Consider the following 15,643-nt stretch of genomic DNA (forward strand, 5'->3'; position numbering starts at 1 on the left):
TCCCTGATGCCAAAAAGGTTGGGAACTGCTGCTCTACCCTCCACACACATAGCTTCCCTCATTATCAACATCCCCCATTATCAACATCTCAAATGCACATCTGAGTGGTACATTTATTGTAAGTAATAAACCTGCATTATAATTACCCCAAGTCCCTAGTTTACACCAGGGTTCACGGTTTTATGGGTTTGGACAAATGGATAATGATACATATCCATTTTTATAGTATCATTCAAAATCCTCTGTGCTTCACCTATTCATCCCTCACCAACACCTGGCAACCAATGATGTTTTTACTGTCTCCATAGTTTTGCCTTTTCCAGAATGTCATAAAATTGGAAGCATACAGTATGTAGAAATTTCAGATTGGCTATTTCACTTAGTAATGTGCATTTAAAGTTCTTTCATGTATTTTCATGGCTTGATAGCTCATTTCTTTTTAGCACTGCATAATATTCCATTATCTAAATCTAACACCATTTATTTATCCATTTATCTATTGAAGGACATTTTCCTTGCTTCCAGGTTTTGACAATTATGCATAAAGCTGCTGCAAACATTCCTGTGTAGGGTTTTGTGTGGACATACATTTTTAACTTCTTTGGGTGGGTAAATACCAGAGTGGCTGGGCATGTGGTTCATACCTGTAATCCCAACACTTTGGGAGGCTGACACAAGAGGATTACTTGAGCCTAGGAGTTTGAGATCAAAGTGGACAACATAGTGAGACTCCATCTCTGTGAAAATTAAAAATTAGCTGGTCATGGTAGTGCATGCCTGTGGTCCTAGCTACTTGGGAGGCTGAGGTGGGGGGATCACTTGAGCTCAGGAGTTTGAGGATGCAATGAGCCCTGACTGTGCCACTGCCCTCCATCCTGAGTGACAGAGTGAGTCCTTGTCTCAAAAAAATAAAAAATAAAACAAACAAAAAAACCAAAGAGCATAATTGCTGGATCACATGGTGAGAATATATTTAGTTTTGTAAGAAACTGCCAAACTGTCTTCTTATGTGTTTCGTTTTTAATGGCCAACACTTGCAAATATTTTAAAAGGACTGCCCTTGAGTGTTTGGAGCCAGTTTTCTCAAAAGCCCAGGAAACCAGAAGAACCCTGGAGTTTACATCCTTGCAGGGCAGCCTTCAGCCAATTACTGAGAGGTGCAGGAGTATAAAAGTCCAGCTGTGATGTGTAATTTTACATGCCAGAACTCCCCTGAAAGATAAGGTTAAGTCTAGGACTTAGTCTGAATTTACACCCTTTCTTTGCTTCTTCCTTTTTGTATTCTGCTTTCCCTACTCCCTTATTCAGTTCTTCCAGGAGCAATTGCTTAATAAACCATGTGCATGTGGCTCTTCGTCTCAGGGTCTGCTAGTAGGGAATTCACCCTAAAATACCCTGGTTGCTTACCTCACAGGTAGTTATCAATATAACTGAAGAAAATGAAAGTGGCATGTTGCTAGGTCATGAGTCCTCCCATGATCATCCTTTCTGTTTCCCTCTTCGAGGATGAATTCCACATAGGACTGACTTTCAAGGTCCATATGGAACCACCTGGCTAGAGGTGAATCTCTGCCCCTGTTCAGAGTTGGAGAAACTGCAACTTATTTATTTTTTTATTTTTTTTTTTTTTGAGACAGAGTCTCACTCTGTCGCCCAGGCTGGAGAGCAATGGCACAATCTTGGCTCACTTCAGCCTCCGCCTCCCGGGTTCAAGTGATTCTCCTGCCTCAGCCTCCTGAGTAGCTGGGATTATAGGTGCCTGCCACCATGGCTGGCTAAATTTTTTTTTTTTTTGTATTTTTAGTAGAGACGGGGTTTCACCACGTTGGCCAGGCTGATTTGGAACTCCTGACCTCGAGTGACCTGCCCGCCTCAGCCTCCCAAAGTGCTAGGATTACAGGCGTGAGCCACCATGCCCAGCCTGCCACTCTTTTTAATCCACTATTTCTTTCCATTCATGAGCACCCCAGGAATGCCAATACTCATAACTACTACATATTGAACTCCTACCGTATCAGAAGTTTTGAATATGTTATTACACTTAGTCTTCACAACAGCTTCCTGATGTAGGAATTCATATTATCATCCCTATATTACAAATGAGGAAATGGAGGTCCAGAAAAAATTAAGTATTGGCAAATGGCAGTGCTGGGATTCTAACTTGGGTCACATATGCATGACTCAAGAGCCCAGCTGTTGACCACTAAATTATATTGACTCTCACTTTTTAGCATCTCTCAGGGAACTGAGGGATCCCGGTTTCCCCCCATCTTCTCCTGTGTGTGCACCAGAATTTCATCACTTGAAATACGTCTCTATTAGATCCCAACATTTGCCCCTGAACTGAAGTCTCTTAATTTCTGTGTAGTTATCTTTGATCTTTGCTTTGGGACTTCTATATAGTACAGTTTATCTTTAAATGATTGTCTGGGACTTCCAGAGAAAGAAGAGAGAGAAGATGAGCTTTTGTAGAGTGTTCTCTATGTGCTAGGCATTTTACTAATCAGTTAATTAATCAGTTCATTTAATTTCCACACAAACCAATGATAGGGGTACTATTTTTATCAGATAATGAATAATGATTTTTTTGCAGGTGGAAAAACTGAAGCTTAGCGAGGTCTTACCCAACAGGTCACTCAATCAATAGCTAGCAAACCTGGAATTTGGGTCCTGTAGACTCCAAAGTTTGTATTTGTTCTTTTCCATCAAGCTGCCTGTTAGCTTTAATTATCCAAGTCTCAAATTTGACTTTCTGGCCACAGAGCTAAATATGTTGCTTCTGTTCTTGCTGACACACTATTATTGAAGAGAGTGTTTGCTCAATCGTGGCACATATTTGTTTTGTACCAGGTGCTCAGTCTGATTTTTGCAAGTTGTCTAATTTGCCCGGAGCTGTTTGAGAAGGTGGGAAAGGAGCTATGAAACCAGTCACTCTGCCTGGTGTCTCTGCTCCCTGCACAGCCAATCCCTCATTACATACCTGACCTTCTTAGGAAGGATTTTAGGATGTAAGATAAATGACAAGGTAGGTGGGTGATCAGAGAAGGCATAACTCTTTTCCCAGGCTGAAGTTTTTATTCTCACAGCAACACCATGTGTCACTCAACTTTCTGTGGGGTTTTTAGATAGGTAAGAGGCACTAAGATTTTCTTAGGTGCTTATTATGTGCCAGCCTTTATTTTATTTTATTTTATTTTAAGTTCCAGCGTACATGTGCAAGATGTGCAGGTTTGTTACATAGGCAAACGTGTACCATGGTGGTTTGCCACACAGATAAACCCACCACCTAGGTATTAAGCTCAGCAGACAGCCTTTCTTATATGCTGCTTATCCATCATTTGATCAAAATTATCTGTTGAATCCTGTTAATCAGGGCATTGTTATAGACACTGGGGATGCAGCAGTGAACAAAACAGAAAATATACCTACTGTCTGAGAGCTTACATTCTAGTGGGAACCAAATAGAATCCTGCTCCTCTTCCTCCAGCTCCAGTCCCAGCTTCAACCTCTGCATCTGTTATTTATTTACTATATTGGGGTTCCAAGTGAGACTTTATTTGAAAAAAACAATCCTGCTCCCAAGAAAATAATGAAAATTGAGAAAGACCACTCTAAACAAATGAGATAAATAGATCTAAACTAGATCCATAATTCAAACATAATCGTTTGGATCTTTAAATACCTCTTTTGTTGCATACTAAATAAATGCTTTTTTGAGGGGAGACCATCGTTCTAAATATTAATTACATCTGAGTAAAGACTTTGGGCTCAGACAGCAAGAGACTTGAACTCTTTTATTGTCAGGACTGCAATAAAGCCCCAAATAAATAAAAATGTTCTACTTTAAAATTACCAAGTGAGAGTTATTTACAGCAAGATTACTTTCTCATTTAATTTTTATTGCAACTGCATAAAGTAGGTACTATGATTATCTGATCCTGCAGATAAGGAAACTAAAAGTCAGGAGCAGAAGTAGCAGGGCTTGAGTGGTGTGTGTCTGTATCTCATTCATGCAGCCAGTATTTGGAAAAACTGGGATTCAAATCTTTATCTGTTTAATTCTAAAGCCCTGGCATTTTTTTTTACTTGAGCAGATACTCTCTTTTAAGTCTGAACATGTCTGTGTTTTTGCTCCCAACACTGCTACTAATTAATGGCAATATTTAAGATACTTCACTGATACTTTAGCTAAAGAGCAAGAGCAGTGTGGATTCACTGCATGTGTCTGGGCTGGGCTGCCCATGGAATCATTTGACTTGTGGCTCCTGGGATTGACCATGCCAGGGAGGGCCTATATTTGAAGGAAGTCAGTCTTGCCTCCTGTCAGATTCCAGGGATTGAATTTCAAAAAGCTGTGAAGGAAGTGATAGCAATTTATTAGTTCCTTTTCACAGCTTGAAAATTGTCTGTGGTCCCTATAGAGGCAATCCAGGTTCACAGAGGTACAATGAAACTTTGTAGGAGAAGGGGTGTTGGTGGGCACATTGCACTGCCGAGAAAAGCCAACCAAACAGTATATATCCAACTGACTGTGTACCAAGATTTCTACTTTGAATCATGAAGCATAGTACATTGTCTCTTATTTGCCCTCCAACCCTGGCTTCCTCAAACCCCAATCCCAAAGTCAGTATGCAGCTACAATATTCTGCAAGTCATGGATGCCCTCAATTGGCAAAACATAGTTAGGTCTTTGAGAGCAGATACATTGGAATCCACCAGATGGTGACATTTCCAAACAAGGTGATGTGGAGCATGACTTTGAACCGTCTGGGAGGTCCGAAGTGTTTACTGATGCCAAACTAAAAGAACGTTTCAGATGTTGGTTCAACAGTCAAAGGGCATCTCTAAAACCCATGTAGATGATGGGTCTAAGCAGATGAAAAGAACAGTCTGGTACAGGCTGTTTAACAGCAGAAATCAATCATTCGTTCTCTAGACAAGGAACTCTTTAGCTGGTCAAGGACTAAACCCACACTCCCTGAGGGCCCCCAGTACTTTATGTCTTGGAGAAAGAGATACATGACTAAAAACTAGGGCTGATGTCAGAGATTGCAGCAAGAAAGCAAGTTCCAACATCTATCCTAAGATCAGCCCAGATGAGGCCCCATGTCCCGCATGATCTATATCAGTGGTTGGCAAACTTTCAGAAAAGGCAGGCCACAGCTTTATTTAGCCCCTCTAATTTAAGGTTGTGCATGCCAGGAATAATTTGAGCATTTGAGGTCTCTCAACTCAACCCTTCACATATGTACAGGAAATATGATTTCTTAAGTATTCAAGGACTTTCTTTTAAAATTCAACTGCAAAGGCGATCTGGCCAATTTTGTGTGATCCCTGCCTTGACTTTTTCTTGCAGAATATCCTCATGGATGCCTTCACCTGCCTTGACGAAATGTAGCCCCCAGCATTCACCTTCCCCCTGGCTTATGCCACACTGCCCTGCAATTTCCCAGGGATTAGAGGATTTATTTTCAAAGGCCAAGCCCCTGGTATTCTCTTTTCCATGGCCCCCAAGTCCCTTGTCTATCAATTGTAGGGCACATCCAGTCCTTCCCTGTAGGCAGCCTCAATTCCCGCTAGGAATGTTGTGCAGCAAGCTGAACACCTCAGCCCTAGCAGAGACCACTGAAGCACCTGGGTTCTCTCACCCTCCTCCTTGTTGTTTTAGCACTCTTCCCTAGGCTAATTTACTCAATCTCCATGCCACTGCTTAAATGTCACTGCTGCGTAAATGTCTTGCCTGATTCGCTGAACTAGATTTCCCTTTTATCCAGTCTCCTAATCCCCCTTGTAGCACTAATCACAATTCTAAACTTAAAATTGTTTAAATATGGTTTCATGTCCTCTGTACAGGACTTTAAGATCCATGAGGATAGGGGAAATGTCTATTTTATTCGCCATTGTATCTCCAGTAGGTAATCAAATTAATAATTACAATATTTACTAATAACAAACACTTGCCTGTGCCAGGCATTGTTCTATGTGTTTATGTGTATTAATTTATTTAACCTTCCTATGAGGTTAAATCCTATGAGGTGTCCAGTATTACTATCACTTCTTGAAAGGCAAGGAAATTAAAAGAGAGAGAGGTTAAATAGCTTGCCTAAGGTCACATAACTAGGAGATGATTGAACTGGGATTTGTACTAAAGTAATAGGTCTTCAAATCCATATCTTTAGTCACTATACTCTAGTGTTTCTCCCTGGGATTAATACATGAATGTGAATGAGGGAAATAAAATGACCACCTCTAACATGTTCCCCAGCTATGATCAGAAGTACTGCTCTTCTTTGACCTCAGAATGGCCTTTGGTTTGGAAGCTGGAAGTCATACCAAGGAAGTACATATTGACTGGCAATCTCAGTTCAGAAGGGTCCACCAAGTAGAACTGCTTTCTGACAGGCTAGTGAGAGAACACCTTGGGCTCATCTTTCTTTATATCACACATTGAAAACCACATCCTTAAAAGTCAAACAAGGATTAAGGCAAGTTCTGATCTATAAGACAAGACAGAAAAGGCTGAACTATACTGCATTATTTGGGATTAAGCTCAGTTATGAGCAACAGAAAATCCACAAATAACAAGTTTTCATCTCTTTCATGTTCAATAATTTCCAAGGCCATCAGTCCAGGACTGGGACATGGTGTTTCACAGTGACAGGGGCTGTGGATAAAGACACAGGCCAGGGAGCAGGGAAAAAAAGACTGGAGCTCAGTCAGAGATCTGAACTAGTTCTACAGAATGAAAAGTCAGCAACAAAGAGATAGTAAACAAAACCCTGGGAGCTGGAGACCAAGTCCCTTCTCTCTTGTTGCTCTGCCACATATAGCTTTCATTCTCAACGTCATCTTGTGGTCCAAGATGACATGTAGAGCTCCAGCAATTTTTTCTTCTATTCTGGTCAGCAGGAATGAGGAAGGAAAGAAGAATGGCATGCTCTTCTATCTTTAAGTACACTTCCCAAAAGTTGTGTACACCAGTTTTACTTATAGCCCATTTGTCAGAACTTAATCACAGGGCCAAATATACCTGCAAGGAAAGCTGTGAAATGTAGTCTTTATTCAAGGTGGCCACATCCCTTGCTTAAAATTAAAGTTTTATTATTAAGGAATAAGGGGAGATCTGATACTGTGCAACAACTAGTGATCTCAGCCATAAATATAATAGTTTCTACGCAATACAAGGAAAGCTCCAAGGAATACAAAGGGGCAAAAGACATATCTGGTTAAGGAATCAAGGAGAAACTCCATAGAGGAGTATATGATGAAAATGGGCTTTGAAGCATGTAAAGAATTTTGCTGGGGCAGATGAGTTGTAAGAAGGGCATTTTAGATAGACATAAGAGCAAGAACAAAGGTATAGAGATTGAAGTAAACAGAACGAATTGTCTTGTTTGACTGGAGAGCTTAAGATTCAAATTGAGGAGCAGTGGGAGGCAAGGCTGTAATGGAAGGATGGAGTCACTTGGGGAAGGGTTTGAATGTCAGAGCAAAAAGTTTTTGTTTAATTTTCTGGGCAAGGAGGAATAACTAAAGGGTTTTGTTCAAAGTAGTTATGTACTTTGAAATCTACTGTAGCAACAGTGTTACAACTTTTGAGCAGACGAGGAATGAGATCTGAAAACTATTATACAGCAAAAATATGTAGTTTACAGTAGAGGGAGCAGAGAGACACAGTGAGGCTGTTGTAACAGCCAAATGATAACACAGGCCTGAATCAAGCAGTGACAGTGAGGGTGAAGAGAAAGAGACAAATACAAGACGCATTGGAGAGACGGAATCTACTGAAATTCACTATTGATTGTGGAGTGGAGAATGAGTCAGATGATCCTGAGATTTTTAATCTAAGTGGCTGGAAGGAAAATGGACTGTTCATCACAACAGGGAACACAAGAAAAGAAAAGTTAGGAGTGGGCATAGAAGGGAGATGGAGAGTTCTGTTTGAAGTCTGAGTTCAAAGCACCTTTAGGATATCTAAATGGAGATACATATCAGAAAGCAAGATATGAGAATCCGGAACATACAGCAGAGAGTTGGACTACAGATACATTGAGCATAGAAGCAATAACAGAAGCCCTTGGACAGATGAGATTTCAGAATTTGAAAGTATAAAGAGAGAAAAAAATAGACCAATGTCATGAGGTTTTCAAAGGAAGAGAGTTTCAAGTAGGAGGGGAAGAATGGTCAATAACATCAACTGCAATAGGGAACTCAAGAAAGATGAAGACTGAGAAAGAACATCAGAGGTAACTAGTGAAACTGAACTGAACTATCTTGGGTGGTAAGGCATTGTAGGAAGTGTTGGGGAGGTGTGGGTGGCTAGCAAAGCCAGGCAAAAAGCAGAAAGACCCAGATTGCAAGGTATGAAGTGCTGGTGAATGATAGGGAAGTTGAGGTGCTGGTTGTAGACCACACTTTGAGTTTTTGGTGCGTGAGTAGGGGTGGGCAACAGATATGCTCACATTCAAGACAGCATAGGATGTCAGTACTGGAAGGGTCCTTAGAAATTGCATCTAATTTTCAACTGAACAGTATTAAGAACAAAATCTATATCCACAAAGAGAAACCTAAACACTTTGGCCCTCAGCTGTTACTAACCAAGGACAAGCCTTTCTTTGGCCCCATAGGAACTCATGTGAACAGGACTTTCAAAACACTCTTCAATCTCATGTACCAATACAGGGAGTGTTTCCAAAGATTCAAAGTTTGACACCAGGGAACAAATTATCAGTCTTCGCTGAGGAGATACAATATCCCCTCTGGGGACACTTACAGAGAGAGATGTTCCAGTTACAGAAAACAGCATCCAGAATCCCAAGACAGACAGGATTGTTGGTGTCTACTAGGCCTTGCAAACTGGAAAGTGGGCCTAATCCACTGGCTTCTTTAGCTTACCAGGAGGCTCCCTCAGATCAGTCCTCAGATATCAGGGATGTAGTCAAGGATGGAGACCTCTGTGGATTTCCAGAAAGCACTTTCAGTTAGTTCTTGGCAGAGGACATAAAGACCAGGCACAAGCTTTGTTCTTTATACATGTTCCTTTCTGACCACCTCCAAAGGAAAAAATCAGGCTCCAAGGCTCTGCAGATCATGGTAGAAGGCCACATATTATAGGAGGAAATAAAGACCACACATAAGAAAAAAGCAATGTAATTTTTAAAAAATTAAAAAATGTTCCACCTACTTGATTTTTTAAAAGTTAGAAGTGGAAACATAAAACCACTACTATTCAATAAATTCAACAAACACAAAAATACCTTAGGTCATCTCAAACAGAAACTCAGTAACCAATAAGCAATAACTCCTCATTTTCCTCTCATCTCACCTCCTGGTAACCTCTAATCTACTTTCTATTTCTATGAATTGACCTATACTAGATATTTCACACACATGGCATTATATAATCTATGGCATTTTGTATCTGGCTTCTTTCTCTTAGCATAATATTTTCAAGGTTCATCTAAGGGGAAGAAGGTGAAATGGGGCATGGGGGTTGGTGATCACAGAGTGAGGAAAAGGATTAGCCAGACCCTAGGGAAGATGGAAACAGATTGATGAAGACAGAGATTTTAAATTATGAGCAGGGACAGGGAAAGAGGAGACAAGGAAATTCCATCTTAGAGTTGTGAGAGGGTTTAGGTCTATGGAGAGGGTGGACAAAGATAAAGTGCCGGTCCCAGACTTAGCAAAGATGTATCACAGTAATCACTTTGCCTCTGAAATGCTCACTTGCTCTGCAACAATCCAGGAACCACAATTTTCCCACTGGAACATAGTTGTGTATTTATTTTCAAACTGAAAGATTATTTTTGAAGTAAAAGTTTATTTACCCATGAAATCCTGAAGGCTTTACACATTTATGAAGGAATGTCTTGGTTTGTAGAGATATCCTTTAGAATCTTCAGGGTGTCAGCCTTTTAGCTTTAAGTTTAAGCTGTTTATTACTGAAAAGTTTATTTCCTAAAACAACAATGAGACATCACCGCACATCTGTTAGAATGGCTAAAACCCAAAACATTGATAACACCAAATGCTGATTGGAATGTGGAGCAACAGGGACCCTCTTTCGTTGCCGGTGGGAATGAAAAATGGTACAGCCACTTCAGAAGACAGTTTGGCATTTTTTTACAAAGCTAAACACATTATTACCACACAATCCAGCAATCACACTTTTTGGTATTTATCCCAATTAGTTGAAAAACTATATCCACACAAAAACCTACACATGAATATTTACAGAAGCTTTATTCATAATTGCCAAAACTTGGAAGCAACCAAAATATCCTTCAATAGGTAAATGGATAAACAAACTGTGGTGCATTGATACAATGAAATATTATTAAATGATAGAAAGAAATGAATTATCAAGCCACAAAAGACATGGAGGAACCTTAAATGCATAGTGCTAAGCGAAAGAAGCCAGTCTGAAAAGGCTATATACTGTATGATTCCAACTTCGTTACATTCTGGAAAAGGCAAAACTGTGGAGACAGTAAAAGGTCAGTGGTTGCCAGGGGTCCTGGGAGAGGGAAGGAAGAGTGAGCAGGTGAAGTACAGGGGAAATTTAGGGCAGTGAAGCTATTCCATATGATACTGTACCTGACATTATGCATATGTCATATGTATAATACTGTACATGACATTATGCATTATGCATATGTCATATGTATGATATGCATATATTAGCATTATGCATATGTCATATTTGTGATACTGTACATGACATTATGCATTATGCATATGTCATGACATTTAGGGCAGTGAAGCTATTCCTTATGATACTGTACATGCCATTATGCATATGTCATAACCGGTAGAACTGCACAACACAAAGAGTGAACCATAAAGTGAACTATGGACTCAGGTTAATAATAATGTATTAATATTGGTTCATAAATTGTAACAAATTTACCACACTAATACAAGATGTTAATAAAAGGGGAAACTGTGCGCCTGGTCAGAAGGTGGAGGGGTAGGGAAAGGGAATATAAGGGAACTCTTTGTACTTTCTGCTCATTTTTTCTGTAAACCTAACTACTCTAAAAATAAAGTCTATTAATTAAAAGAGAAGGGCAGATAAAAAGGCAATAAAAAGGCCATGTACTCCCTAAAAATTTATTTCCCCTTTAATTATCTTGTGGTTGTTGCTATTTATTATCCCTATAAGGATACAACCTAGACTAAAAATCTGGATTTGATTTGTAATAAGAAAAACACACTCAAAACAAAGACATAAATTTTTATTTCCAGTTCAAACTTTAAAAATTATGAACCCAGGTAGCTTAAATCTCTCCAAGAACAAAGATCATCTCAAATCCTTGGAATGTCACTAAGCCTTGTATCACTTAGCTTGTCAATTCTTCTATCAGGTAGCCAGATGTTTCCGTTTGAATGGAATCTTTGCAATAACCCTTCTTTTTGGGGATTTATTCTATTAACTGGAAGCTTGTCCCTAGAGCAATGACACTCTTTTATACTTGCTAACTCTATTCGTTTCCAATACAAATAGAGGTTTAGGGGTGCCAAAACAGATTACCACAAACTGATTGACTTAAAACAACAGAAATGTATTCTCTCACAATTCTGGACACTAGATATCTAAAAGCAAGGTATCATCAGCAGGACCACGCTCCCTTTGTGACTCTGGGTAGAATATTTCCTTGTTTCTTTGAAGCTTCTGGTTGTGGCCATCAATTCTTGGCATTTCTTGGCTTGAGCTACATCACCTAAATCTCAGCCTCTGCCATGGCATTTTCCCTGTGTGTCTCACTTTGTCTCTTCTCCTCTTATAAGGAAATCAGTCATGTTGGATTATGGGCCTGCTTTACCCTGTTATGACCTCATTTTAATATGATTATATCTACAACAAACATATTTCCAAATAAGGTCACATTCTGAGGTACTGGCGGTTAGGGCTTCAATATATTTTTTAGGGGGACACAATTTAACTAATCACACTAACAGAATAATGAGGTCCCATTGTAAGCATGTTTTGACCTTGGTTCTGAAGTAAGGGCTTCTCAAAAAATGACAGCTTTTACTTAGGATAGCTGTGGGACTCCAGAAAGACCAAAAGTCCCACTCTTTCTACCATGCCTAATCATGTTTCCTCAGTTAGCAGGCTGAACAATTATTACAGTGTTCTCTACCTAGGCCAGGAGCTCTGAAGAGGTTGCCATTACCAGCCTCACTGGGCAGGAGTGTGCAGTTCCTTGAAGTCCTTGAGCCTGCCAGCCCATACCACATTCCTAGCACCAACCAAAAATAGGTCTCTAACCCCCTAAATGTTTCACAGCTTTGGTTCTGAAGTTCTTACTCTAACTGTTCTTGCCCACTTACTTCTGACTCTTTCTGCTTCTGATCTCATTATTCCTTTTACTGATGGTGGTTTTACCTGTCCCTTGGACCAGATGTTCAGCACCGTTTCTCCAGCCTTCACCAATGTGTTTCTTCCTGGGCTCCAAATTGAACTCTGCTGAAGACCTTTTTGTAGTCATACATCGTGGGTAAATACTCACATGTTCATTTGTATGCAAGCACAGCCATCCGCAGAAAGCACTCCCAGCAGGTCATACCACTCTCGTGAACGAGAGCCAAATATCAAGTCATGATTTCTAAGATTCTAGGCCATCCCTAAAGGTACCAGGAAAATTTTGACCTTTTGCACTGGGAATGTACTTCTGCATTTATTTTCAAACCTTAAAGTGTATTTTTTTAAAGGTTTATCATGTGACCCAGCAATCCCATTATTGGGTATATACCCAAATGAATATAAATTATTCTATCATAAAGACACATGCACACATATGTTCATTGCAGCACTATTCACAATAGCAAAGACATGAAATCAACCCAAATGCCCATTAATGATAGACTGGATAAAAAAAAATGTGGTACATATACACCATGGAATACTACGCAGCCAAAAAAAGGAACAAGATCATATCCTTTGCAGGGACATGGATGGAGCTGGAAGCCATTATTCTCAGCAAACTAATGCAGGAATGGAAAACCAAACACTGCATGTTCTCATTTATAAGTGGGAGCTGAACAATGAGAACACATGGACACAGGGAGGGGAACAACACACACTGGGGCCTGTCAGAGGGTGGGGTGGGGGGAGGGAGAGCATTAGGAAAAATAGCTAATGGATGCTAGGCTTAATACCTAGGTGATAGGCTCTTAGGTGCAGCAAACCACCATGGCACACATTTACCTATGTAACAAACCTGCACATCCTGCACATGTACCCGAGAACTTAAAAATTAAAATTAATTTAAAAAAGAAAGAATGGTTTATTTGCCCATGGAATTCTGAAGGTTTCACATATTTATGAAGGAATATCTTCGGTTGTAGGATCTTAGCAGTGTCAAGCTTCTGCCCTCACAGCTTCCCTGGAACAACCCTAGGAAAGATCCCCAATAGCCTCCTAATCACTGCGTTAAATAAGTTTTGTTTTTCAGGCCTCATCCTACTTGACTTCTCAATGCCGTTCAACACTATTGACCACTCTTCATTTCTCAAAAATCTGCCCTCTCTTGACTTTGAGAAATAACGTCTGCTACCTTCTCCAACTTCAATAAACCACTTCTTCACAGTCTCCTCTGATCTCTCTTCTTCTGGCCATCCTTTAAGCATTAGGAATTTCTCAGGCTCTCTCCTTGGCTTTTGGTCCTCATGCTACACAGTCTCTGTGGATGATTCCACTTACTACCATGGCTTCAGTTATATGTTACTGATTTCCAGATCTGCATCTCCAGCCTCGGCTTCTTTTCTGAGCTCCAGACCTGTCTATCCAGTTACTAACTGGGCAATCCTGCTGGGGTAATCTATGGGCTCCTCAAACTCAAGATGTCCAAACAAATCTCACTGATTGCCTCTATTGCTTATGTCAATGAAAATCCCATCAGTCTAGATTTGTCTTCCTTTGTTTCTGCTCACATCTAGTCTACAAGTTCTGCCTCTCTTAACTGACCATTTCTCTTTGTACTCACCACCTTTACCCTTGTCTGAGTCTTCATTATACTTTGTCTGGAACATTTTAATAGCCTCCTGTGTGATTTGCCTCCCACACCAAACCATTCTCCACCCGGCACCCAGAGTGAAAATGTCATAGCACGAAACTGGCTGTTTCACCGGCTCTCCACTGCCTACAGGGTAAAGTTCAGTTTCCTTAGCAAAGCATTCAAGAGATGGCCTTTTGGACTTTGAACCTCATCTTTTGGTTTGTTCCACCACTTCCCCAGAGCTTCAGTCATATCAGACTACTTATAGGACCCCAATATGCATAATGGTTGCATGCCTTTACTTAAACTTTTCTCTCTGCCTGGAATATCCTCCTTCTCAACTCACAATTACTTAGGAAAAGGCTAAGGGCCAGATCTTCTGTTTGAAGATGAGGTAAGAGAGGCAAACCTATGCACCTATGCGAGAGCTTACTTACTCTTGGGGGAAGTTCCAGCAGACACGCTGTTGGTAAATTGCACCTTTTACATCTGGGCTCTGGAGCCCTATGGCGTGGTGACCCTGGATCCCTTCCAGGAGCTGCAGGGCAAAGACAACTTCTGTGGTGAACTCTTCTGGATGTGTGTCAGTTCCGGGTGAGGCTGCAAGGCTGCCAAATTCTCAGGCTGGATCTCCTGCTGGCAGGCTGACAGTTTCTCCATGCCCTGGGTGCCAGCGTTGTGAAGGCTTCTGCTGCGGGGTTGCAGTTCCCCATAGTTCCACAGACAGCTAGACCTTCCCTTATCTTAGGGCCTGATTCAAAACCGATGGGTGGATAGGACCATTCTCATCCCTACTGGCTCCTAGGCACAGTACTCCACCTGCAAAAGTGCTGTTGTTTCTCTAAATAACTTATAGGATAACTTCTCTCTCTCCCTCTCTCTCAGCATTTATTCAATCAACCAGTATTTATTGACTAACACCTATACAGTAGGCATTCTACTAAATACTGAGGACATAGCAATGTACAAAACAAGCAAAAAAACACTGCCTTCTTTTAGCCTACAGTCCAGTATGGGAGACAGACATTAAATAGAAAGACCTACAAATATTTAATTAATGACAGTTAAGAAGGAAAAAGTGCAATAAAGGAAAAAAGCAGGGGTTCTATGAAAGAACTGGGTCTTTACAGCCTGATTTGTGGAAGAAATTACATTCCTCAAATGAGCACAAAGTAATGGTTTTTCTTGACCTTTTAAGTTTTTCTCCTCTATTTGTAAGATTTTTTTAACATATTAAAGCTATTTTTTTTGAGATGGAGTTTTACTCTTGTTGCCCAGGCTGGAGTTCAATGGCGCAATCTCAGCTCACTGCAAACTCCACCTCCCGGGTTCAAGTGATTCTCCTGCTTCAGCCTCCCGAGTAGCTGAGATTAAAGGCACCTGCCACCATGCCCAGCTAATTTTTTGTATTTTTAGCAAAGACTGTGTTTCACCATGTTGGCCTGGCTGGTCTCGAACTCCTGACCTCAAGTGTTCCACCTGCCTCGGCCTCCCAAAGTGCTGGGATTACAGGCATGAAGTTATTCTTTTTCCCTTTATTTTATTAAGTATTTTAAGGACTCCCTCACCCTGCTTAGACTCCAACACCCCACACCAGGCTGCCCCTCCATGGACATCATTCTCACTCAGGAATGGAC

Source organism: Homo sapiens, chromosome X, assembly GCF_000001405.40.
Source record: "Homo sapiens chromosome X, GRCh38.p14 Primary Assembly".
Lineage (NCBI taxonomy): Eukaryota > Metazoa > Chordata > Mammalia > Primates > Hominidae > Homo > Homo sapiens.